Raw genomic sequence first — 26,148 nt, 5'->3', positions numbered from 1 at the left:
AAAAATTGAAGTATAATAGATACATACACATTTGCCTGAAAGTTGTGCAATATATATTGTTAAATGAGAAAAGCAATCGGTAAAAACAGTATGAATAATTTGATACCATGTTTATAAAACAAAAATGTACATTCCTATATACACAGGAAAAGAACCTAAATGAATATACATGTTAGCCTGTTAAAGGTGGTGATCACTTGGGAGGGAGGTTAAAGGGACCTTTTCTGTACTGTTTGAAATTTGAGAAGCAAGCATTAATTTTATAAGGAGAATAAATAAATAAATATTTGTCTCAATCTGATCTACTTTGGATGAACAAATTGGAAGGGGGATTTTTTTCCAAATGCATACCATTTTTTAATAACAGTTCACACATATATTACTGGTCTAATAAAAATTGTCAAACTTCCATCGAGGAGTGACTAAGAGACAACTCACCATTAAGACTCCAAAATGGGTGAGGTGGTCACACTGACAGATTGTGTAATTTACATTTGTTTCCTTTACTTTACAGCCTGACGAATTCCATCCACCCAGCCCATCTGTAGGAGACAGAAGGAAATTTCAAAGCAATTTTGTTTTTCTCAGAAATGTTTAACTTTTCATTATATTCACTATCCAAACGTGTGTTATAATTAATATTATTTGCTGAGATAGCAAGATTAGGGGTATAATTGAACACTGAAATTAAATTAAGTCTAACAGACTAAATTGACTTTTTGGGGACTTCGTAAATGGCACAACTTCTTCGGCTCTCCCTTTTCCTGTTCTTGTACCATACCTCTACAAATTAGGACAGACTCTAACCATGAACTTTTTTTTAAGTAGCCAATAAATAGGAAGCAAGCAGATCTAGAATATTTTTAAGGACATGGACGTATGGAATATAAGCTGGTACTTGAGCTTACTCAGAGGGACTGGAATAGACATCTGAACACCCAGCTGAACCCGCAATTCAAAGGGTCTCAAGTGCTTTCAATCAAAGTCAGATCATGGTCTGGAGCTCTGCAGGGCCAATTAGAGCCTCTGCTCTACTAGACATCTGGCTAGTTTCTTCTGAGCACACTCAGGTTTAGAACTAACACTCATACCTCCACAACCTGTAGATCTCAGGTACTAGATCAGATTTGAGACTAGAACTTCCCAAGTGGCACTAGACCAAAGGGGTTATCCCCGGGCAGGCAGCTAAGTTTGGTCAACATTTGTCCATCTGGGATAATGCCATAGATTCCAGAGGTTCTAGATCCACGGGGCAGAGGTGCAGGGGCAAAGGGTGACCTGGGAGTACCCCAGCAATTTGCGTTAATGAACATAGAGATCAACATATTGAGGTTGTAGGGGACAAAGCTCATCGCTTTATAGAGTTTTATCCTGAGAGACTTGGAGGGGATCAGGAAAGGGCAGTGTTATTTTTGTTTGTCAGAAAGAAGTAGTATTCTTATACTCTAGGGAGCCGAATGGGAAGAGAATTTCCATTTTGTCCCAGAATTCCAAGGATAGTGAAAAAGGGAAAGGTTCCAGGCAGAGTTTCCACAGGCAGAAGGACTCCTCACTTAGCCACTCCTGGCGTTCTTAGGGAAATTTATTCTGTGTGGAAATTCTCTGAGATTTGGTGATAACCCTGGATATTTCCAGTGAAGATGGCAATGCTAAGAGCAACCCAGTCAGCAATGACCATTCCCAGTCTTCTACTGTCTGTCTCCAAAGACTCATGCTTATTCAAGCAAGTAGGGTCCTTAGAGACCAACCAAGAAGTTTCATCTCCTCAATGAAAAGATAAAAAGACTGGGGCTCAGAGGGGGTAAATTGTCTACCCAAGGTCACACAGTCAGTCTAAAAGAGGTGAGGAAAAAAAAAGGGAAGGAGATCATAGATCTTGCAAAACCCTGTGGGAGAGCACAGATAAAGAACCAGGTATTCCTTCCTCAACTTTCTTCAAACAGTTCAAGGCTACTCTGCGCTGGGCCTTCCAAATTTCTTTCTTCCAACTTTGCTTACCCTCGAGTTGTGTAATTTTTCTGATTTTCCAAATAATTATTTTTGGGGCCTAAGATACTTGTAATAAGCTCCTATAATCTTCAGGAAACTGCAGGTAAGGAGCAATTAGTTATTGGGCATGATTGGAGCACTGTAGCCCCAGCACCAATTGAGAGATCTTACCTATCAAAAAGGAAAGTTGTCTTAATTCCCATGCCCTAATTTGATATAAAAATCATATCCTGTATCTTGGTCATTCAGAATGCTCTGTAGGGTCTGATAAGACAGTAGTTTCAGCACAACCCCCTCCCATTTAACTGCCAAGTGGGAAAATGGTCTGGGGCAAAGTCAAAGTTGCTAACAAAAATACTTACTATTATTCTCAAAATCCCAAAAGGCACAGTGAACTTGACCATAATTCTGGAAAAAAAGAAATCAGAGGTAAACATCTTGCCTTGTGATATTTACCATATAGTAACATATACACATAAGTGTTTTCTTCCCAATATTTTTTCCCATGGTAAACATGCACACACTGACATGCACACACACATACACATACACATTTGGGCCATTTGTGAATTGGCTTTTAGACTAACTCCACCATCTAACTCTGGATTTACAAGTGAGAAAACAGCATGTCACCGGCTGGTGATCTGATATGTCCTTTAAAATATTTGGTAGTATTAAAAATTGCCATGCCCTTCTGGTACAAGGCTATGGATAGTCAATGCAGGGCTGATGTGTTCCTTCTGGAGCTTTGGAATTCGGGGCTCACCGCTGAGATCAAGCCTTATGGACAGAAATTTGATCTGCCCCATCATTAGGCCTACAGAACATTCCTAAGACTTCACCAGCTCCTGTAGTCTCCAGGAAACTGCAGGCAAGGAGCAATTAGTTACCGGGGATAATTGAAGTGCTGTAGCCCAGACCAAATTGAGAGATCTTACCTATCTAACACGTTTCATTTGGTATTTGTTTCTTTAAATTTCCTCTCCCTCTCTTCCTTCTCTTCTTCCCTTCTAGAATCAAGACCAGTGAAAAGTATGCTGAACTATATGGTCTTTTAGACTGGGAACTGAGAAATCTATTGAGACGTCACACTGGCCATACACTAACGTCAAATAATGGAATAGTCATTCATACTTGTACTTAGGCTAAAGTTGATTATTTAGTAATATATAGCTTATGTTATGCCATATGACTATGCTTTTAGTTCTTTGGTGATAATTCATACACGTTTTAATGTTATTTCTGGAAATTCAAGTAATACAAATATTCAATTATTTTGAGTGAAGTTGCTTGTCTCGCTCAAAAATAAATGGAATCACATGTCATTTAGTGTGATGGGACATCCAAAAGATCCAGTCACTGCCCCACCAATCTGTCACAGTGCTAGAATGCCCATCATTCCCTATCACTTTAGGATAAGGCATTATTTCTGGAAGGTTCCAATTATAACACACATTTGCTACCTGGAATAGGACATTCCTCATTAAGTGTTAGAATCACATCTGTTAATTAACAAATTACTTTTAACAGAAAAGTCGTGAAGAGTTCCTGAGGCCATTTGATTCTGAGCTGAAAATAGATATATTACCTGGTTTCCTCCAATATGCTGCAGAGTGATAACCACTGGGTCAGCTAAGTTTTGAATGAACATATCATCTGAAATGCTGGCACTCACAACATAGGTGGTTAATGCTTTAGTGACATTTTTGGTCTGCAGATGAAACAAAAGAGGAGTTCAGGACCTAAATTTCTAATTACTTACATATTAATAATCAATCTGGAATTTTGAAGTGCTACACACAATGTTAGGTACAGAAATGTGGAAAATAAAATTGCAAGCTAAGGTCAAAGGTTATTCAGCTCATCTCCTGTCTTCACATAAGGTCTCCATTATACCAAGCTAGAACAATTCATTAATCCATCCATCCATCCAACCAAATGTGTATTTAGCACGCATTTGTTTTGCACCTGCTACTCAGTACTGCACTAGCAACAAAATGAAACTATTCTCTATTTTGGTAACTTTCTGGACCTTGACATTTCACAACTTATCCCAGTTCTAACTCTCAACCATCCTTGCTTACTTTTAGGGAGCTCCTCTATAAGAAACCTAAATCTATCATTTGTAAGTTATAAACCACTTCTTGTTCTATTCTGACAGAGATGGAAGCAGGTTGATCAACACCCAGTTTGAAACAAATTTCAGAGGACAGTCATCGCCTTCTTAGGGGACTGTGAGCTCTGAGGCCAGAGCCCAGGCATTGTATAGCCTGGTGTTCCTCACATATCCTAGGACACAGCAGGTGTCTTGTGCCCACAGTGAGCCACTTATTATGTGCTTTTCATGCACATGCCATTTGCAGTCCTCATTGAAGCCATATAAGCATTTTTCAGATAAACTGAGGCTTGAGTGGCTCAGTGCCTAAATGGATAAAGATCACTCAGCTAGTGGGTGACAGGGCAGGAATGCTTAATAAATGTTGGTTTAAAGGCAACAAACTAGAATGTATCTCTTGAGAAGTGGGGCTTGCTAACTAACAGTGCCAAAGTACCCCAGGCCAAGGCTCCAGGATGCAAGTCAGCTGAGATGCTGCCTGTTCTGGGGCACAGGCACATGTGAAGAGGCCACAGGTAGGGCTGGTGATACCAGACAAGAGGGAGAGGAAGAAAAATCTCTGAGGACTTCCCCACAAAAGCCTAGAGGACGTGAACGCAGATGACATTCCTTGGAGATCCTGCTGGGCCACTTTTAGAAGATGCCAAGGCTTCATATTTCTGAAGAAACAGTGTGCAGTCCCTACTACCTACCCTACACACCTGAGCCCTGCAGCCTGGGTAGTTGCAAATTCAGCCTGGGGCTCCACTAGGACTCTACTTACTTCCTGTTTCTGACCTGTTCTGTTCATTCAAAACCAGCCTGGGGCAACCTGATTTAGAGATGGCCAACAGCAAGATATAATGGGAAGGGCCCTGCTGACACTCAAAAGGCTAAGGGCTAACCCTAGCTCTCTTGTTCCTCCTAAGCCCTATTACCCCTTCCTGGTCTATTGGTGACACTAGGAAAGATGGCAGACTAGATGTTATTTAATGATCCTCCCAACTTAGTCTAAGTGACGCAGTTTTCTGTAGTGAAAAGGCCAAAGGAGGAGACACACACTATGATCCAAAACTTAATTAGCCTTTTCTCTGGTTTCATTTCCCTTACTACAAAACGGTAGCCATGCCAGGAAAGGAATAGAAACTTCCTCATCCTTCCACCCTTTGCACTGTAGGCTCAAGTTTTATCTGTTACACCTCTGAACTTTTAGACAAGCTATTCCCTCTCTCTGAAACTCTCTTCTCTCCTTCTCTTTGCCCTATTTCATCTTTGAGCTCCTACTCAACTTCAGGGCTCCGCTGAGACCTTTCTCTCACTGCACTTTCCTGATCTTCCAGATGAGTGGTAGATTCCCTCTTCTATGCACCCAGAGCCCCTGTGCCATATTGTAACCGCCTAGTGCCTGTCCCTCTCCCTGAGAATCACAGCTAGAGGAGGTGTGGAGGAGGAGACACATATTATCCAAGAGTGGTGCCTTATCAACAATTTCTATGGACCAGGCACGGTGGCTCATGCCTGTAAACCTAACGCTTTGGGAGGCAGAGACAGGAGGATGGCTTGAGACCAGGAGTTTGAGACCAGCTTGGGCAACAAAGTGAGACCCCATCTCTACAAAAAAATATGAAAATTAACCAGGCACAGTGGTGAGCACCTATATTCCCAGCTACTTGGGAGGCTGAGCCAGGAGGATCTCTTGAACCCAGGAGTTAGAGGTTGCAGTGAGCTGTGATTGCACCACTACACTCCAGCCTGGGTGGCAGAGCGAGATCCTGTCTTTAAAAGACACAAACAAACAAACAAACAAATTTCTAAGGTTATGTGTCATAATGACTTAAGATTTTGATCAAAAAATATTAGAGAAAGTAGTGCGAAAGCAAGGCTGTGATACTCGGGGATTCAAGAAAAATAGAATTAAAGAGCAGCATTTTTGTAAGTACTCTTTCCCCAATAACCAGTGGCACAGATCCCAGCCTAGGGTCACCCCTTTAATGTTAGAACATTTAGGTCTGTTTTCCCCTCCAGCAGACTGGAAGTTCCATGAGAGCAGGCACTATGTATCTTGCTCAGCATTGCATCCTCAGCATTCAGCACCGTACAAGACACACAGTAGGAATTAAATAAATATTTGCTGAATGAATAAATGATTGAGTGAATGAATGAATAAATTGTGACACCTTCAGCAGATTCCTTCCCCTCTCTGAGACTCGAGGTCCTCAATATCCATTTTACTTTTACCAATGGTAAAATGAATAGATGGGATGATATGAGTTAGGAGGGCCCTTTCAACTCTGAATTTGAAGCAGGCTAGTTCTAATCCTTCTTCATCTGGTACTATGATGTTTGCAGTTTAATTTTGGCAAAGATCTTTAATCTCTTCCAGTAGAAAGTGTTAGTGAATAAAAATGACTTATTAAGTGTGAAATCTATGCAAAACAAGTTTATCTCTTATTCTACGAGACAAGCACAGCCCTCTGAAGAAAGGAGAGAAATTAAGACCAAAATAATGGCATCTCAAGTGACAAAGAGAAATTGTAAGCCTACCAAAAGGGTCAAAGTGTTGTGGAGCATATTTTTAATTTTTATTAAAATGTTTTGCCCACTAAATATTTTGCCCAGGAGGCAGGAAGGAGAGCAGAGACTCACTTACTCCAGGCAGCCACCCTGGGTGGGATTTGAGCTAAGCCCACAGGAACACATAGAATTTAGAGAGAGAAAGGAGTGGCTAGAGAACTCCAGGGGAACAGAAAGTCTTACAGACATAGCTGGAGGTGACATGGTATATTTGAGGTGGCGTGTGGTATGGGTATGTGCTATATTTTGAGCTGGCCCAGTGCAACCTCCCACAAAAGAAATGTGGATATTTGACCATTAGAAATTCATTACTTTGGATAACCTCTTTAGAAATACAAACACATCTGGGAAAATTATTGTATTGACTTTAAATACATGAACTTTGAAGTCAGATAGCCTGGGTTTGATTCCTAGCTATGCCACTTTTTAGGTATGTGGCCTTGGGAAAAATTACTTAACCTTTTTGAGTATCAGCTTCTCATGAGAAGTAGATGAAATAATAAATGTAAATATTAACAATTAATAGTGTTCATTATCTTCAAATTCATGCAAACTCTGATTACTGTCTTCCCAATAGCTAGATGAGACAGAGTGGTCTAAACGAATGAGGCTTTTGTTAGGCAGAGACCTAAGACAGGATACTAATAATAGTAGAGCAAACACTTAACATGGTACTTATGTGCCAAGCGGTATTGTAAGCACTTTAAATACACCAATTCCTTTAATCCTTCAATAGCTCTATAAGGAATTCTTATTACCCTATACTACAGAGAAGGAAATTAAGGCACATGAAGGTTGAGTAACTTGCTTGAGGACACACAGGCAGAATATGGCATTGCCAGCTTTTAATTCAACCAGCCTGCCCCTGAGTCCACACTCTTCAGCATCACATCATGCTGCCTCTGTTTTCTAGTGGGTGAGGACTGCAGCCTTCAGAGAAAGTTCTGTGGGGGCTGTGGGAAGTAGCAACAAATGCCTGCAGGCAAATGTCCTTCTGGATACCACCCAACTTCAAAGGAATTGGCCAAGAATAGTGGACATGTTGGCTTTGAGGAGCCAGGGGAGATTTGGGAGGAAAGCACTGATAAGCCGAAACATCATTTCATCAGGAGAACTCGCTGTTCTTTTTTGGCTTTGAAACATCTTGAGGCCTCTGTTTAGCCACCAGATAATCCTTAAGTTTCCTTCCAAAGCTGAGATATTGTGAAAACTAAAAACTGTAGAACATCATTAAAGTAGACGTTGATTCATGTTAAGGGGCAGGGGTTGTGTTGGAAGACTTGTGGAATCAATCAGCATATTCTAAAATAAGCAGAACATCATGAAAATAGCAAGAGTTCATAATTACAATGAGTCACCATATGCCAGTTCATCACAGTTACCACAGGCAAGAATTTACCTTAAAGAGTGAAGTTTGGCCAAAGAAATTAAACAAGATCGTTTGTAAGTTGCTAAGAGGAATTCTCTCCGTCAGTGATTTAGGCAAATATATGGAAGCCAAAATCCCTCCCACAGGGACATTGCCTAGGAAAATCTGCCAAGAAAAGCCAAAAAATGAAAATTGGAGTCTTCATTCATCATAGTGAAGTCCTGCCCACCTCCCACCCCAGCTCAGCCTCAGAATATCACCCAAAGGACTGAAAGGTGGGAACTAGCTCCATAAGCGATGATACACTTTTCACACACACACACACACAGTCACAGGCCAAGACATGATCCTGGTACACACAGACATAGACACAAACACACATCATCTTTTCCTTTCTAAGCCTATTCCTGAGGTTCTCTCCCTTTGATCTCCTTTCACCTGGGTAATAATAGAGATGAGAGGGAAATGACAAATTAGGTCATTTGCCCTGATTATCAGAAATAAAGACCAGTCTTGGAACTCAGGCTACCTTCCTCCATATGTTAAAAGGAAAAAACAAAGTAACAATAAAAAACACAATACAATGATATTAGGCACTTTCCTCATAGTTTATGGAGCAATGTTTTGGTTAAAAAGTGAAGCAGGGAAGTGAGGCATTAGCGCTTAGCAATTCTGCTGCATGCTCACAGCTATGGTTTGAATATGTCCCCCAAAAAGCATGTACTAGAAACTTAATCCCCAATGTGATAATAATGGGGGCTGGGGCACAATGGGATATGTTTAGGTCATGAAGGCTCCACCCTGTTGAATGGATTAATGCCAATTATAAAAGGGCTTGAGGCTGTGAGTTCAATCTTTTGTTCTCTCTCTCCCTCTCTTTGCACATCTGCCATTGGATGACACAGCAAGAAGGCTCTCACCGCAGGCGGCCCCTTGATCTTCAACTTCCCAGCCACCAGAACTGTGAACCAATAAATTTCTGTTCATCAGAAATTATCCATTCTGTGGTATTCTGTTATAGCAGCACAAAATGGAACAAGACATCCACTATCAGAAGTATTTGCTGAGTTGATTGGTAATAGTATTTGACAAGTACTGGAACATTTTTGAGAGTCAAAAGGGCTTTGTTAATAATTACACTAAGTCCACAGCCATAAATCTGGATTCTCCCATACAAAACAGAATATGTGGACACACTTACCTGCATTCTCCCATTTAATCTCTCTATCAACTCTGAGAGGTACGTTGTATTATGGCAACAGGAAATGGCGTAGAAAGATTAAGTGAATTGCTTAGGATCACACAACTGGGATGTGGGTGAACAAAGATATATGCAATTTTGGCCCACTTTTTAAAATTATCTATGCTGCCTCTCAAGTTGCTATTATCTAGCTGGGTGTATAGTGGGGGTTAAAAGTGAATAATATTTCTAAAAATGACTTGTAGTCTCAAAACCCATATGGCTCTTTGCTAAGCAGAAATGAACTCTGCTAGGGCAATCAAGTACCATGGAGAGGTCATGATTTAGCTTCAATATGTAAGCAGTTTGGCACCAAGAATACAACTGGTGTTGTTTGGTTTGTCTCTCCACCAAGATTCATGATAGAAAACCCCATTGTAAACAAAATACACTGGGAATTCAACATCTGTTTCAATATGGCTAAGTAGCTCCTAATAAACTCAACTCTCCTGCATATAACAACAATACAAAGTAACAACGACTTGAAGGCACTGGAAAATTACCAAAAGCAGACAGTTTCTGGAGAAGAGTAAACACTTGGAAAAAGGTAACATCACAAGGTGGGGTACCCGTTTTTACATCTTGTAGCCTGATGGCAGGCTGAAACTAATGCTGTGAAGGACATCTAAAACTTTGATTTTTTTTTTAATTGCAGTCTTTGTGGAATGAAGAACCAGAAACAAAAGCCAGGGCAACCATAGCCACTGGGAGGTGATGGGGGTTGTGGTGGACATCTGGAATGGAAAGCGGGATCCAAAATTCTGAGTATAAATTCTGCCCAAATATATGCCTGACCTCTGGACCACATATGTACAGGACATACTTCCACTAAGAATAAAGGAATTAACTGAGATTTGAACTGCCAATCAAGAGTTGGTGTCTACAGTATAGTCCAACCAAGTTAATTGCCTGTTATGACAAAAATCTATAATCTACAAAAGAATAGAGTAGAATCTAGAGTGTTCATATATATAACATTTATAAAACCCAGGACATAGTCCAAAATTACTCAATACGTGAAGAAAAAATGTGACCCATTTTTAAAAGATAATCAATGGAGTTAAACCTTGAGATTTTCCAGATATTAGAATTAGCAGACAAGGATTTTAAAGCAGCTAGTATAACTATGCTGAGGTATTTAAAAGATAATATGTTTGCAATTAATGGAGAGAGGAAATAATGGTTAAAAAGAAACAGAAACAAACAAAACAGAAATTCTAAACTTTGAGTATAATTGGAATTTTTAAAAAGTAAATTTTATTGTGTGTATTTAAGGTATATAACATAATATTACGGGATACATATAGAGAGTAAAAAGGTTACTATAGTGAAGCAAATTAACATATCCATGGTCTCACATAGTTACCTCTTTTTTTGTTGTTTTTGTGGCAAGAGTAGCTAAAATCTATTCATTTAGCATGAATTCTAAAAACTGTACAATTTAAAAAATTGCACAGGATGGGTCCAATAGTAACATGAAAACAACAGATGTCTGCAAATTTAAAGGTAGATCAATATAAATGATCCTTTTGGAAGAATAGATAGTGAAATGATTAAAAACATGAACAGTCTCAGGGATATGTGGGGGAGTATCAAAAGATCTTACATACAAGTAATTGGAGTCTCAAAAGGAGAGGAAAGAGAAAATGGTGAGGAAACAGTATTTGAAGGAATAACAGTGAAAATTTCCCCAAATTCAGTAAAAGGTATAAATTTACATATTCAAGAAGCTCAGCAAACCCTTAGCAGGATAAGTACAAAGAAAAAAAAAATGCCCAGGCATATAATAGTCAAACTGCAGAATATCAAAGAAAATATTTTAAAAAGCCAGAGAAAAATTACACATTATATACAGAGAAACAAGAACTCAAATGATTACTGATTTCTCTTCAGAAAACATAAAGGCCAGAAGAGAGTGAAATGACATCTTTAAAATGCTGGGGGCTGGGGGAAGGACTTGCCAATCCTGAATCCTATTACAAACAAAAATATCCTTCAAGCATAAAGATAAAATAAAGACATTTTCAGATAAATTAAAAACTCAGAAAATTTATCATTATCAGACCTGCACTACAATAAATCCTAAGTGAATTTTTTTAAGCTGAAGGGAAGTGATACCAAATAGAACTCTGACCTTCAGGAAGGAGTGAAGAGCACCAAAAATAATACATATCTAGGTAAATGTAAAAAACCATTTTTTCTCTCAATTTTTTAAGTAACATAGGACTTTTTAAAGTAATGACTATAACATTGTCTTGTGAAGTTTATAATCTTCTTGTGTAAAATATGTGTGTGACAATTATAGCATAAAAAACAGGGGGTATAAATTGACACGTCTGGTTTAAAGTTTCTACATTTTACATGAAGCAGTACAATATTAACTCTAAGTAGACTGTAAAAAAATATACAAGTGTATATTATAATCTCTAGAGCAACCATTAAGAAAACAATGCAGGCCAGGCATGGTGGCTCACACCTGTAATCCCAGCACTTTGGGAGGTCAAGGCTGGTGGATCACTTCAGGTCAGGAGTTTGAAACCAGCCTGACCAACATGGTGAAACCCTGTCTCTACTAAAAATAAAAAAATAAATAAATAAAAAAACAACAGCCCATGCGTGGTGGCACATGCCTTTAGTCCCCACTACTCTGGAGGCTGAGGCACGAGAATCGCTTGAACCCGAGAGGCAGAGGTTGCACTGAGCCCAGATTGTGCCACTGCACTCCAACCTCGGTGACAGAGGGAGACTCCAAAAAGAAAGGAAAGGAAAGGAAAGGAAAGGAAGAAAGAAGAAAGAAAGAAAGAAAGAAAGAAAGAAAGAAAGAAAGAAAGAAAGAAAGAAAGAAAGAAAGGCAAATATATATAATTAAAGAGTCAGTAAACAATTAAAAAGCAACTATAATAAATATTAAAATAAAGCAAGAGACAACAGGAAAGAAGGAACAGAGGAACAAAAGCCAGAGGGATAGACAGAAATTAAAATAAAATGGTAGCTCAAATCCAACCACATAAATAATTACATTAAATGTTAAAAAAACTACACGCTCCAATTAAAAGTCAGATATTATCAGGATGGGTAAAAAATAAAACACAAACTATATGCTATCTACAAGAGGTACACTTTAAATATAAAGACAGCTAGGAAGCAAATGAATATAAAATATACATACATACCTTTTAGAGTAACCATAAGAAGGCTTGGATGACTTGGTTTTTTATATTCAAACCAGATAAAATAACTTCAAGACAGAGATAAAGAGGGGTATTTAATAATGATAAATATGTTTAGGGGTAGGATTAGTATTAGAAAGACAAACCAACACAAATGTATATGTGCTTAATAAAAGAGCCCCAAAATAAACAAAGCAAAATTTGAAAGGACTAAATGGAGAAATAGACAGTTGCACAAAGTTAGAGATTTTAACACCCTTCTCAATTAGAGAACAACTAGGATAGAACAAAGATGATTGGAACAACACTGCTGGCACCTTGACCTAATTGCTATTTATATCCAACAACTGTAGAATGCACATTTTTTTTGAAGTCCATGTGAAACATTCACCAAAATAAATCACACATTGGGATATAAAATAAGTGCTCTAAATCAGCGTCCAATATATGGTACTTTTTTTCCCATAGCCAGGATTCACAGTTCCAGGAATCAAGAGTTGGAAGTGGAAGTGGCACCACTCACCATCACCCCTAATGATCCACTAGCAAAACTTTTGCTTCCTGTTCCCACGACATTACATTCTGCTGGCCTAGAGGTCTTAGTTCCAGAGGGAGGAACGCTGCCACCAAGAGACACAACATCGATCTCCTTAAACTGGAAGTTAAGATTGCCACCTGGACACTTTGGGTTCCTCCTACCTTTAAGTCAATAGGCTAAGAAGGGAGTTACAGTGTTGGCTGGGGTGATTGATCCGGACTATCAAGATGAAATCAGTCTACTACTCTACAACGGAGGTAAGGTATGCATGGAATACAGGAGATCCACTAGGGCATCTCTTAGAATTACCATGCCCTGTGATTAAGGTCAATGGGAAACTACAACAGCCCAATCCAGGCAGGACTACAAATGGCCCAGACCCTTCAAAAATGAAGGCTTGGGTCACTCCACCAGGAAAAAAACCACGACCTGCAGAGGTGCTTGCTGAAGGCAAAGGGAATAGAGAATGGGTAGCAGAAGAATGTAGTCATCAATACCAGCTACGACCACATGACCAGCTACAAAAACGGAGACTGTAATTGTCATGAATATTTCCTCCTTCTTTTGTTAAAAACATGTTTGTGCATGTATACACTTGTACTAAGAAAAATCTTCATTTTATTTTTTTTTCTTTTATCGTGTGACATAGGATTTACTGACTTCATATCAGCATTTAAGTATTGTTAATTTTATGTAATAGTATTTGTGTTGGGGATTTGTGCATTTCCAGTTGTACAAAGGATAGTTGTATTATGTTAGGCATAATTATGACCTTATTGTTGTCTTTATTTGAAGATTATGTATGATCTCAGGAAATGTGTATGGGTTCAACTTGAAAAGGGATGGACTTGTGATGGTTAATACTGAGTGTCAACTTGATTGGATTGAAGAATACAGAGTATTGATCCTGGGTGTGTCTGTGGGGGTGTTGCCAAAGGAGATTAACATTTGAGTCAGTGGGCTGGGAAAGGCAGACCCACCCTTAATTGGAATGGACACCATCTATCTAATCAGCTTCCAGCAAATATAAAGCAGGCAGAAAAACATGAAAAGGAGAGACTGGCTTAGCCTCCCAGCCTGCATCTTTCTCCTGTGCTAGATGCTTCCTGCCTTAGAACATCAGACTCCAAATTCTTCAATTTTGAGACTCGGACTGGCTCTCCTTGCTCCTCAAGCTTGCAGACAGCCTATTGTGGGACCTTGTGATCATGTAAGTTAATACTTAATAAACTCTCATATATATGTGTGTGTGTGTGTATTTATATACATATATATATACATACATATATATCCTACTAGTTCTGTCCCTCTAGAGAACTCTGACTAATACAATAAATTTCAACAAATGTAAATGGATTGAAATTATACTAAGTATATTCTGTGACCAAAATGAAATAAACAAGAAATCAATAACAATAAGATATCTCAGGCTTGGTGGGGTGGCTCATGCCTGCAATCCCAACACTTTGAGAGGCTGAGTTTGAGACCAGCCTGGGCAGCATGGAGAGATCTCATCTTTACAAACAATGTTTTAAAAAGTAGCGAGGTGTGGTGACATGCACCTGTGGTCCCAGCTACTCGGGAGGCTGAGGTGGGAGGATCATCTGAGCCCAGGAGGCTGAGGCTACAGTGAGTCGTGATTGTGCCACTGCACTTCAGCCTAGGTGACAGAGTGAGACCCTGTCTGAAAAAATAATAATACGATATCTTAGATAGCCCCCAAATACTTGTAATTTAAACAATACACTCCTAAATAATTCACGGACTAAAAAAAATATAAAATATTTTGAACTGACATAATAAAATACAACATATAAAAATTTGTGGACTACAGCTAAAGCAGTGCTTAGAAAGATATTTACAGCTTTTTAGGATTATGTTAGAAAAGAAGAAAGGTCTAAAATGAATGATATATAGATCCACATTAAGAAGCTAGACAGGCCAGGGGTAGTAGCTTACACCTGTAACCCCAGCACTTTGGGAGGCTGAGGCAGGAGGATTGCTTGAAGCTAGGAGTTCGAGACCACTGTGGGCAACAAAGAAAGACCCTGTCTTTACAAAAATAAAAAATCTAAAAATTAGCCAGGTGTGGTGGTACGTGCCTGTAGTCCCAGCTACTGGGGAGGCTGAGGTGGGAGGATTGCTTGAGTCCAGGAGTTCGAAGCTGCTGTGAGCTACGGTCACACCACTGCACTCCAGCCTGGGTGACAGAGAGACCTCATCTTAAAAGAAGAAGAAAAAGAAGAAGAAGGAGAAGGAGAAGAAGAAGGAGGAGGAGGAGGAGGAAGAGGAGGAGGAGGAGGAGGAAGAAGAAGAAGAAGAAGAAGAAGAAGAAGAAGAAGAAGAAGAAGAGGAGGAGGAGGAGGAGGAGGAGGAGGAAGAAGAAGAGGAAGAAGAAGAAGAAGAAGAAGAGGAGGAGGAGGAGGCAGCAGCAGCAGCAGCAGCTATGTAAAGAAGATAAAACTAAAACCAAAATAAGTACAAGAAAGGAAGTAATAAACATAAAATCAGATATCAAAAAGTAGAAAACAAGTAATAGGGAAAATTAACAAGGCCAAAGGTTGTTTAAAAGGATCAACAAAATGGAAAAATCCCTATACTATCAAAAATAAAGGAGCAAAAAAAGAAATTACCAATATCAGAAATGAAAGAGGATTTATTACTATAAATCAGAGGTTGACAAATGAATCAGCAAGCCAAATCCTTCCTAAGGCTTGTTTTTATGTTGCCCTGAGCTAAGAATAGATTTTACATGTCACTTTTAGGTTTCGTGGCTTTTTTTTTTTTTTTTGGTAACAGCTTTATTGAGACTTTACTCACATACCATATACTTCACCCATTTAAAGTATACAGTTCATTAGCTTTCACCACATTCAGAGTTGTGCAACTATCACTACAATCAATTTTAGAACATTTCCATCACTTCAAAAAGAACCCCTGTATGAATGGATGAACAAAGTGTGGTAAATACATACAATGGAACATTATTCAGCCCTAAAAAATTAGCAAATTCTAACATGCTACAACATAGATGAACCCTGAAGACATTTTGCAAAGTGAAAAAAGCCAGTCACAAAGGACAAATATGGTATTATTCCATTTACATGAGGTACCTAGAGTAGTCAAAATCACAGGGATCGGAAGAATTGTGGTTGTCAAGGGCTAGGAAAGGGACGAATGGGGACTTGTTATTCAACGGGTCAGCTACTGAGGAGGCTGACCTCCCCAGTAGCTTTGGGAAGATGAACAACGTTCTGCAGACATATGGTGGTGAGAGTTGCACAACATACATTTCATTTTTAAACGGTTGCACAAAGAAAGAAGCAGAGGGAGAGGAGAGAATAAGAGAGGAAAGGAAAACAGAGGACAGCAAGGGAAGAAGAGGAGAAGAATAGAGAGGGCTGGAAAGGAGAGGAGAAGAGAGGGAGGGAGAGGAGAGGAGAAGAGAGGGAAGGAGAAGACAGGAGAAAGGAGGGAAGGAGAAGAGAGAAGAGAAAGAAGGGGAGGAGAGGGCAGGGGGCAAGAGGAACGGAGAGCAGAACAAAAACAAACATATAAGAACATTCAGCAGACAGAGACCACCTGTGGGTTGCAAAGCCTAAAATATTTATTATCTGCCCTTTACAGAAACTTTGCTGACTCCTGCTATAAATCCTACAGATGTTAAAAAAATAGGAAAATATTATAAATTATTGCCAATAAGCTTGACAAGTTAGATGAAATAAACTCTTAGAAAAATACAACTATCCAAAAACTGACACAAGATGAATCAGAAAATCTGAATGGCTCTCTATCCACTAAATAAATCTAGTTTGATATCAAAAAACTTCCCACAAAGAAATTTCAGACCCAGAGGGTTTCCTAGTGAACCCTATCAAGCATTTAATGAAATGACAGCAATGTTACACAAACTCTTTCTGAAAGTAGAAGAGGGACCGTTTCCCAACTCACTTTTAGAATGTTGCCAAAATCTTTCTAAAGCCTGACAAAGAAATCACAAAAAAAAGAAAATTTCAGACCAATACTCTTCATGAATGTAAGGGCAAAAATACTTCACAAAACATAAGCACTTAGAAAATAGCAATACATAAACATGATGATGCATGATGACCAGTAGGGTTTTTTCTAGGAATTCAAGATTGGCTTAATATTTTAAAATCAATATAATTTACCATATTAAGAGGATAAAGAGGAAAGCCAAAAGATTACTTCGAGAGATACAGAAAAAGGTTTTGACAAAATTCAACAACAATTTGTGATAAATCTTTTCAGGAAACCAAGAATAGAAGGTAACTACCTCAATCAAATAAAGAACATCTTTTAAAAAAACAAAACAAAAATGGGTAACATCACAGTAATGGAAAAACAGTGAATACTTTTCTCCTAATATTAAAAATAAGACAAGGATGCCCACTTCAACCACTTCTATTCAACATTTTATTGGAAGTATTAAACATCAGAATAGGCCCCCAAAAAGAAATAAAAGGAATAAAGATCAGTAAAGAATACATAAAACTCTCTATTGTCACATGATGTTGGCTTACATGGAAAGTTCTAAGGAATCTCTAAAACAATTACTAGAAGCAATAAGTGAATTTAGCAAGTGCATAAGAAACAAAATGTGTATATATATAGCATATAATATAAATAATATTTCATATATAATCAATTGCATTTCATATACTAGCAGCAAATAATTGGAATATCTAGTTTTAAAACTATTCCATTTTCAACAGTATCAAAAATCAAAATACTTAGGAATAAATTTATCAAAAGACATGCAATATCTCCCCACCTAAACTACAAAACATTGCTCAGAGAAATGTAAATAGAACTAAATAAATGTTCCTAGATTAGAAGACTCAATATTACTAAGAAATAAATTCTCCCAAAATTGACCAATAACTTCAACTCAATCCAAATCGTAATCTCAGCAAGTTTTTTATACAAATTGATCAGCAGATTTGAAAATTTATATGGACATGCAAAAGGCTTAGAATAACCAAAGCAATCTTGAAAAGCAACAATGTTGAAGTATTCATATTACCTGACTTCAACACTTCAGGAACCAAGACGACCTGGTAATAACATACGAGTTTAAAAAAAAAAAAAAACAGTATAGGAAAGTCCAGAAATAGCCTTACATTTATACAAAATTTGACTTTTTGTCAAAGGTACCAAAGCAAGCCAATGGGGAAGGAAAAGTCTTTTCAACAAATGATGCTGGAAATACTGGATATCCACGTAAAACAAAATGATCCTCAACTCCTACCTCATGCAATACATAAATCAATTAATTGAGTTCTAAACATAAAAGCTAAAATCATAAAGCTTTTAAAGAAAAGCATAAGAGAATGTCTTCATGGCTTCCTGATAGACAAAGGTATCATAGACAAGTCATATATGGTTATTCATAAAAGAAAACAGAACTATAAATTAGACTTCACGAAAATTTAAAACTTTTGGTGAGCACAATGGCACACGCCTGTAATCCCAGCACTTTGGTAGGCCAAGGTGGGAGGATTGCCTGAGCCCAGGAGTTCGAGATCAGTCTGGGCAACAAAGTGAGAGCCCCATCTCTACAAAAAATTAAAAAATCAGTCAGGCATGGTGGTGCGTGCCTGTGGCCACAGCTACATGTGAGGTTGAGGCAGGAGGATTGCTTGAGCCCAGGAGGTCAAGGCTGCAGTGATCTGTGTTCAAGCCACAGCATTTCAGTCTGGGTGAAAGAGCGAGACCCACTCTCAAACAACAACAACAACAACAAAAAAAAAAAAAAAAAAAAAAAAGGAAAGAAAACAAGAAAGTGAAAAACTGCTCATTGAAAGACATTATTGAGAAAATAGATAGGCAAGTCATACGGAAAACATTTTCAAAACATACATCTGATAAATTGTTTGTATCCAGAATGTGTAAAGAACACTTACAACTCAATAATAAAAGGGATGCCCACTTTTACCATTTCTGTTCAACATAGTACTGGAAGTCCTAGTCATAGCAATCAGACATGAGTAAGAAATAAAGGGCATCCAAATTGGAAACAGGAAGTCAAGCTGTTGCTGTTCACCAATGATGTGAACGTATACCTAGAAAACCATAACGACTCATTCAAAAAGCTCCTACATCTGATAAACGAATTCAGTAAAGTCTCAGGTTACAAAATCAATGTACACAAATCAGCAGCACTGCTATACACCAACAGCGACCAAGCTGTGAATCAAATAAAAAACTCAATCTTTTTACAACAGCTGCAAAATACAATACAATACAATACAATACAATACAATACAATACAATACAATACAATACAATACAATACAATACAATACCCAGGAATATACTTAATCAAGGAGGTGAAAGATCTCTACAAGGAAAACTACGAAACACTGTTGAAAGAAATCATAGATGACACAAACAAATGGAAACACATCCCTTGCTCATGATGGAAAGAATCAATACTGTGAAAATGGCCATACTGCCAAAAGCAATCTATAGATAATGCAATTCCCACCAAAATATCATCATTCTTACAGAACTAGAAAAAAATTCTAAAATTCATATGGAATCAAAAAAGTCCACATAGCCAAAGCAATTCAAAGCAAAAAGAACAAATCTGGAGGCATCATATTACCCAACTTCAAATTATACTGCAAGGCTATAGTTACCAAAACAGCATGGTATTGGTATAAAAATAGGTATGTAGACCAATAGAACAGAATAGAAAACCCAGAAATAAAGCCAAATACTTACAGCCAACTATCTTTGACAAAGCAAGTGAAAACATAAAGTGGAGAAGGGACACCCTGTTCCACAAATGGTGCTGGGATAATTGGTAAGCCACACGGAGAAAAATGAAACTGGATCCCCATCCCTCGCATTATACAAAAATTAACGCAAGATGGATCAAAGTCTTAAATGTAAGAGTCTTAGATATAAGACCTGAAACCATAAAAATTCTAGAAGATAACATTGGAAAAAACTCTTCTGAACATTGGCCTAGGCAAAGAATTCATGACTAAGACCCCAAAAGCAAATGCACAAACAGAAACAAATAAATGGGATCAAATTAAACTAAAAAGCTTCTGCACAACAAAAGAAATAATCAGCAGAGTCAACAGGCAATCCAAAGAGTGGGAGAAAACATTTGCAAACTATGCATCCAACAAAGGACTAGCATCCAGAATCTACAAGGAATTCAAACAAATCAGCAAGAAAAAATCAAAGGATCCTATCAAAAAGTGGGCAAAGGACATGCGTAGACAATTCTCAAAAGAAGATATACAAACACCCAACAAACATATGAAAAAATGCTCAATATCACTAACCATCAGGGAAATGCAAATTAAAACCACCATGAGATACCACCTTACTCCTGCAAGAATGGCCATAATTAAAAAGTCAAAAAACAATAGATGTTGGCATGGATGTGGTGAAAAGGAAACACTTTTATACAGCTGGTGGGAATGTAAATTAATACAACCACTGTGGAAAACAGTATGGAGATCCCTTAAAGAACTAAACTGAGAACTACCATTCCATCTAGCAATCCCACTACTGGGTATCTATTCAAAGGAAAAGAAGTCATTATATGAAAAAGGCACATGCACACACATGTTTAAAGCAGCACAATTCACAGTTGCAAAGATATGGAACCAACCTAAGTGTCCATCAACCAAACAAGTAGATAAAGAAAATGTGGTATATATACACCATGGAATACTACTCAGCCATAAAAAGGAATGAAATCATGTCTTTTGCAGTAACTTGGATGGAACTAGAGGCTGTTATTCTAAGTGAAGTAACTCAGGAATGGAAAACCAAATATCATATATTCTCACTTATAAGTAGGAGCTAGACTATGGGGACACAAAGGCATAAGAATGATGTAATGGACTTTGGGGACTCAAGGGAAAGAGTGGTGGGGGGGGTGAAGGATAAAAGACTACATATTGGGGACAGAGTGTATACTGCTCAGGTGACGAGTACACTAAAATCTCAGAAATCACTACTAAACAAATTATCCATGTAACCCCAAACCACATGTATCCCAAAAACTATTGCAATAAAGAAAGAAAACTACCCCATTTAAAAATGGGCAAAAGATTTTAACAGATATTTCACCAAAGACATACAAATAACAAATATGAACATGAAAAATTACTCCACATCATTTACCACTCTAGAAAACACTATGACAGTTTCTAATACATTTAAACATATACCTACAGGCCGGGTGAGGTAGCTCACACCTGTAATCCCAGCATTTTGGAAGGCCGAGGTGGGTGGATAACTTGAGGCCAAGAGTTTGAGACCGGCCTGGCCAACATGGCTAAACCCCGTCTCTACTAAAAATACAAAAATTAGCTGGATATGGTGGTGAGTGGCTGTAATCCCAGCTATATGGGAGGCTGAGGCAGGAGAATCGCTTGAATCTGGGAGGCAGAGGTTGCGGTGGGGAGATATAGTGCCACTGCACTCCAGCCTGGGCAGCAGAGTGAGACTCCATCTCAAAAAATAAATAATAAATAAATAAATAATAAACATGTACCTATGAGCCAGCAATTCCATTCCTAGGTATTTATCCAAGACATAGAAATAATATGATCACATAAAGACTTATACACAAAGGTTCATAGCAGGATTATTCATAATAGCCAAACTGGAAACAATCCAAATGTCCATCAAGAGGAGAACAGACAAGGAATCTGTTGTGTACCCAGTCGTTGGAATATTATTCAGCAATAAAAAGGAGGAACAAACTACTGAAACAAAAGGATGACTAAAAAAAAAAATTATGCTACATGAAAGAAGCCTTATATAAAACAGTACATATTATAAGATTTCATTTATATAATGTTGTAGAACAGGAAAAACTATCGCAGAAAAATATAAGAACAGTGATTGCCACTGCAGGTAGTAGTTTCAGAGCTTCACTTGGAAAGGGCACAAGGGGGCTTTCAGAGGTGATAGTAATATTCTATATCTTTTTAAAAATACAGAATCTTGCTCTGTTGCCTAGGCTGGAATGCAGTGGTGCAGTCAGGGCTCACTGCATCCTTGATCTTCTGGTCTCAAGCAATCCTCCCGCCTAAGCCTCTCATGTAGCTGGACCACAGGCACACACTACCATGCCTGGCTAATTTTTTAATTTTTTTGTGGAGATGGGGTTTCACTATATTGCCCAGGCTGGTCTCAAACTCCTGAGTTCAAGTGATCCTCCCACCTTGACCTCCCAAAGTGCTGGGATTACAGGTGTGGCACTGCACCTGGCCAACATTCTATATCTTAATAGGGGTTTGGATTACATAGATGTATGCATTTGTCAAAATTCAGAGGGTGTATACTTAGGATTTGTGCATTTTCTTATATGTACATTTTATTACTTTTTAATTGTAAAAAAAATCTAACCTCTGAAATTGTTTTGAGTAGGGTTGGCAGCCTATAACATGCCAAAGGCTAAGGTGGTATGATATGGTGGAAAGGGCCCAGGCTTTAAAGCCAGACAGACATAGGTTTCAATCCTGGCTTAGTCATTAGGCTATGTGTTCTTGGGCAAATTACTTCTCTGTTTCCTTATCTGTACAAAGGAGGCAGTAGCACAATGTCCAACATATAATGTGTTCCTTAAATGGTGGCCAATAATAAACTGACATTTGAGATAATTTGGGGTCACAGGGCCAAAGGTGGTATCATTGCACAATTCCCAGACACCATTCCAACCAAGACGTTAGCCTACTAAAGATTATATACGAATCTTCCCTGGGATGTCTGTATTTCCATAAGGTCCCCTTAAAACCATAACGGAGTGCCCTCTCTCTCCCAAGGAGTAAATGAATGAAGACCTGAAACAGTGCTTGGCTGATTGGCTCTCAGTTCCCTGAGCTGCACTCACCTCAGGGTCTGTGCCTTCTTCATAGGAGTGAATGCTGAAAGCCATGCCATCAAACGTGTGGTCCCCCCGCAGCACAGCCAAAGCCAGCCCGGCCACCGTCAGATTTGCTATCTGCCCAGAAAACTCCATCTTGTGACCAGTACGCTCAATTATCCTCAGAATTCTGCAAGAAACCACAGATGGAGAAGAGCATCCTACCTTTTAAAAGTAAAACCCATCCTCCTTGCAAGATTTCCTTATTGCAAGACTTTTCTTTGAGTTTTAATCACTATCTTTATATCATTTAGGAATTATTAAATAAGAGCACTGGCTTTGGAATCAGACAAGTTGACACCTAAATCTTAGCTTCTCTAATTTCTAACTGTGTGGGCAAATAAAGTAATCTCACTTAGCTTCAGTTTCCTCACCTGAAAGTCAAAAGTAATATTACACTCATCTCTAAAGATTGTCGTGAAAATTAATGAAATTGTTACATGTAAGCCAGACCCTGCAGGGCCTCGTAGGACTTTATAAGACATTTGGATTTTATTCTACGTGTAATGGAAAGCCACTGAGTGGTTTTAAAAGCAAAGTAAGGACATGACCTGATATATACATTAAAAGATTACTCCGGGTGCTATGTAGAAGATGACCCATAGAGGGTCAAGAACGGAGGCAGAGAGACCATTTAGGAGGTTATTGTAGACAGTCTGGTGAGAGAAATGGGGCTAGGAATAGGATGGTAGTGGTGGAGATGGAGAGAAGTAAAAGAATTCCACCAAAATATTTAAGGGATTTTAAAAATGGATGTACAGTGCCGCATACAAGAGTTAGTTATTAATTGGCTGTGAGTTAGAAGGAGTTAACTAGTACTGTTCTCGAGTTTTCCACTTTAGCACTGGTTGGATACATTTTATAGACATTAAGAACACTGAGGGAACACAAAAGTTGGGGGAATAGACTGGGGGTTTGGTTTGGGGTAACTGTGTACTTGAAAGCTTGCTATCACTAAGATTCAATTCGAATTTGAATACATCCTTTCACAATGAACATTCTAGTAAAGTGACCCCATTGCATTGTACTAACTGAGCTTTCAATGTGTAACTACCTGACTTTTAAAATTTATGATGTCTATATGCCAAGAAATTGATAATATATACAGTCGTCCGTTCGTATCCTTGAGGGATCTTGTTCCAGGACTCCCATGAATACAAAAATCCACGGATGCTCAAGTTCCTGATATAAAATAGGGTCGTATTTTTGTATAGCCTATGAACATCAATGTATATTTTAAATCATCTCTAGATTACTTATAATGCCTAATACAATGTAAATGCTATGTAAATCCTTGTTATGCTGTATTGTTTAGGAATAATGAGAAAAAATTCTGTACTTGTTCAGTATCGACGCAAGATTTTTTTAAGGATATTTTCAATCTATGGTTGTTTGAATTGACAAATGCAGAATGCACAGATACAGAGGGCCGTCTGCATTTTAAATTTTTTAAAAATAATGTCTTTCACCAAAGTATTAGTACTTACTCATTGCTTATTTCATGCAGATCAGAGGCGGAATTGTTTTGCTTTTCCAAAACAACGTTGATTATTTGTAACATAACATGAGTTAGGTTCATACTTATCTCATCACATTGTGAAATATCTGATATTTTAGAAACAATAATCTTTGTCTCTTCTTTACCCAGGGCTGGGGATTCATTTATCAAATTTAAAATATGCTCTGCAACATCCTCAGCATTCTCTGGGGAAAGAAAGTTGAGACATAAAAGCTGCATGACTTAGTCTTCTGCCATTCTGGTGTGCTTCTTTCCCTTTAAAGAGTAAAGAGGGTGAGATGAGAACACCTACCAAGGTAATGTGTTTACAGAAGGAAAATATTGGCCCTTTGTTTCTACAATAGGTGTAGTCCCAGAAAGTAGAACATAAGTCAAGTTTTTATTCATAAAAAGTTTTCATTCATTAAATCCTTTTTCAAATGCACCAGGGAAATCGTTTTGTCCCTGAAGAATTATCTTGAAATTTGATTCTAATTAAATTGAGACTTTTGAGTATTGGATTGTGTTAAGTAGATCCCACCTTATACTCAAATATCAGCAAACACTCAGTCTATGTTTTCATAATTAAGGGTGATGGTTACATTTTCCTGTCAAGAACCATCAAACCACAGGAAAAAAAAAGCAAATATGGACTACGTCATAATAAAAAGCAGTTAATTTAGATTTTCCAGAGAGTAAGAACAATGGATATTAACTCGCCCACTTTTTTCTTCACTTTTTATTATGGAAATTTGCAAGCATACACAAAAGTAGAAAGAATTGTATAATGAATCTCCATGTTCCTCATGAATAACCCAACTTCAACAAGTGTCAATGAATGGATAATCGCATTTTCTCTACACTTCCACTCACCTTTTCCCCAACCCCATATTATTTCAAAGTGAGTCCTGAATATGATATCATTTTATCCATAAATACTTTAGTATGTATCTCTAAAATAAATGATTTTTACATGTCACGACCACAATAACAAATTAAATTTAAAAATTAGCAATAATATTCAAAATCATCAAATATCCTGTCAGTGCCCAAAAGTTCTTATCTCATAAATGCTTCTTCTAAATAGTTGTTTTGTTTGAATCATGACTCACTTTTAAAGTGAAGAGCTTTGTTAAACGAATACAGCACAAATTCTATTTTAGTTGAATATAACACATATAAAGCTGAGCTTTCTTGTGGTGTCTTGCTAGCTTAAAGCACTCACATTCAAGTCCAATAACCAAAATATAAAGGAAAATAATAAAAAATACCATTTGTTAAGAAAAATTCCAGAGAGAGCTAACACTCATAACACACTTAACCCAGGTTATACTACAAATAGTCAACTCTGTTTCAGAAAACAAAATAATTCAGCATAAAATTCATCCCCTCTCTCTCTGTCTGTATTTCTCTTACTACCTCTCTTTCAATGACCTCCCTAGTTATCAGCATCTCCTCAAATCTTTCTCCTACCCCAAGCTCCCCACAACTTAACACCTTCAAAAGCCTACACAGGCTACTTTTTGCTTTCTCCTTTTCCTCTTTGTTTTCTTTCTTTATTCTCTTTTTTTTTCCTGCAAACAACTTTCTGTTCTCATCAATGTAAATTAAGCAACCATAACTGAGATCCTCTCAATTCCTCCCCAACCATTACCCCAATTTGTCCAACAATGGCTCACATAGGAACTGAACTAGCAAAGACAGAGTTCTCCCTGAGGAGATGGGAGGAGGACAGGAGATTAAACAAGGT

At 38.0% G+C, this 26,148-nt stretch overlaps 1 protein-coding gene across 5 annotated transcripts in view, besides 1 other annotated feature; it reads right to left on the bottom strand.

The window, feature by feature from the left end:
• ADGRG4 (adhesion G protein-coupled receptor G4) overlaps positions 1–26,148 on the bottom strand; it is a 115,928-nt gene that overhangs the window by 20,959 nt on the left and 68,821 nt on the right. For 4 of the 5 annotated variants that reach the window (NM_153834.4, XM_011531269.3, XM_047441831.1 and 1 more), the window contains 6 exons: positions 24,388–24,604; positions 22,868–23,030; positions 8,058–8,192; positions 3,578–3,700; positions 2,352–2,397; positions 439–542 (listed from right to left, as the gene is read on the bottom strand). In NM_153834.4, the coding sequence (NP_722576.3) occupies positions 439–542; positions 2,352–2,397; positions 3,578–3,700; positions 8,058–8,192; positions 22,868–23,030; positions 24,388–24,604 (788 nt within the window). The remainder of the gene's footprint in view (positions 1–438; positions 543–2,351; positions 2,398–3,577; positions 3,701–8,057; positions 8,193–22,867; positions 23,031–24,387; positions 24,605–26,148) is intronic. The other variant, XM_047441830.1, reaches the window with a different exon arrangement.
• Positions 8,280–9,479: an enhancer, noted in NCBI's record as "MED14-independent group 3 enhancer chrX:135468612-135469811 (GRCh37/hg19 assembly coordinates)". NCBI's record gives its function as "activates an origin of replication core promoter dependent on BRD2, BRD4, P300/CBP and CDK7 cofactors, and independent of MED14, by STARR-seq in HCT116 cells {active_cell/tissue: HCT116}" and the evidence as "EXISTENCE:reporter gene assay evidence [ECO:0000049][PMID:35650434]".

Source organism: Homo sapiens, chromosome X (genome assembly GCF_000001405.40).
Source record: "Homo sapiens chromosome X, GRCh38.p14 Primary Assembly".
In the NCBI taxonomy this organism is placed as follows: Eukaryota; Metazoa; Chordata; class Mammalia; order Primates; family Hominidae; genus Homo; species Homo sapiens.
The sequence above is the reverse complement of the archived record's forward strand: the minus strand, read 5'-3'. Positions and strand labels throughout refer to the sequence as shown.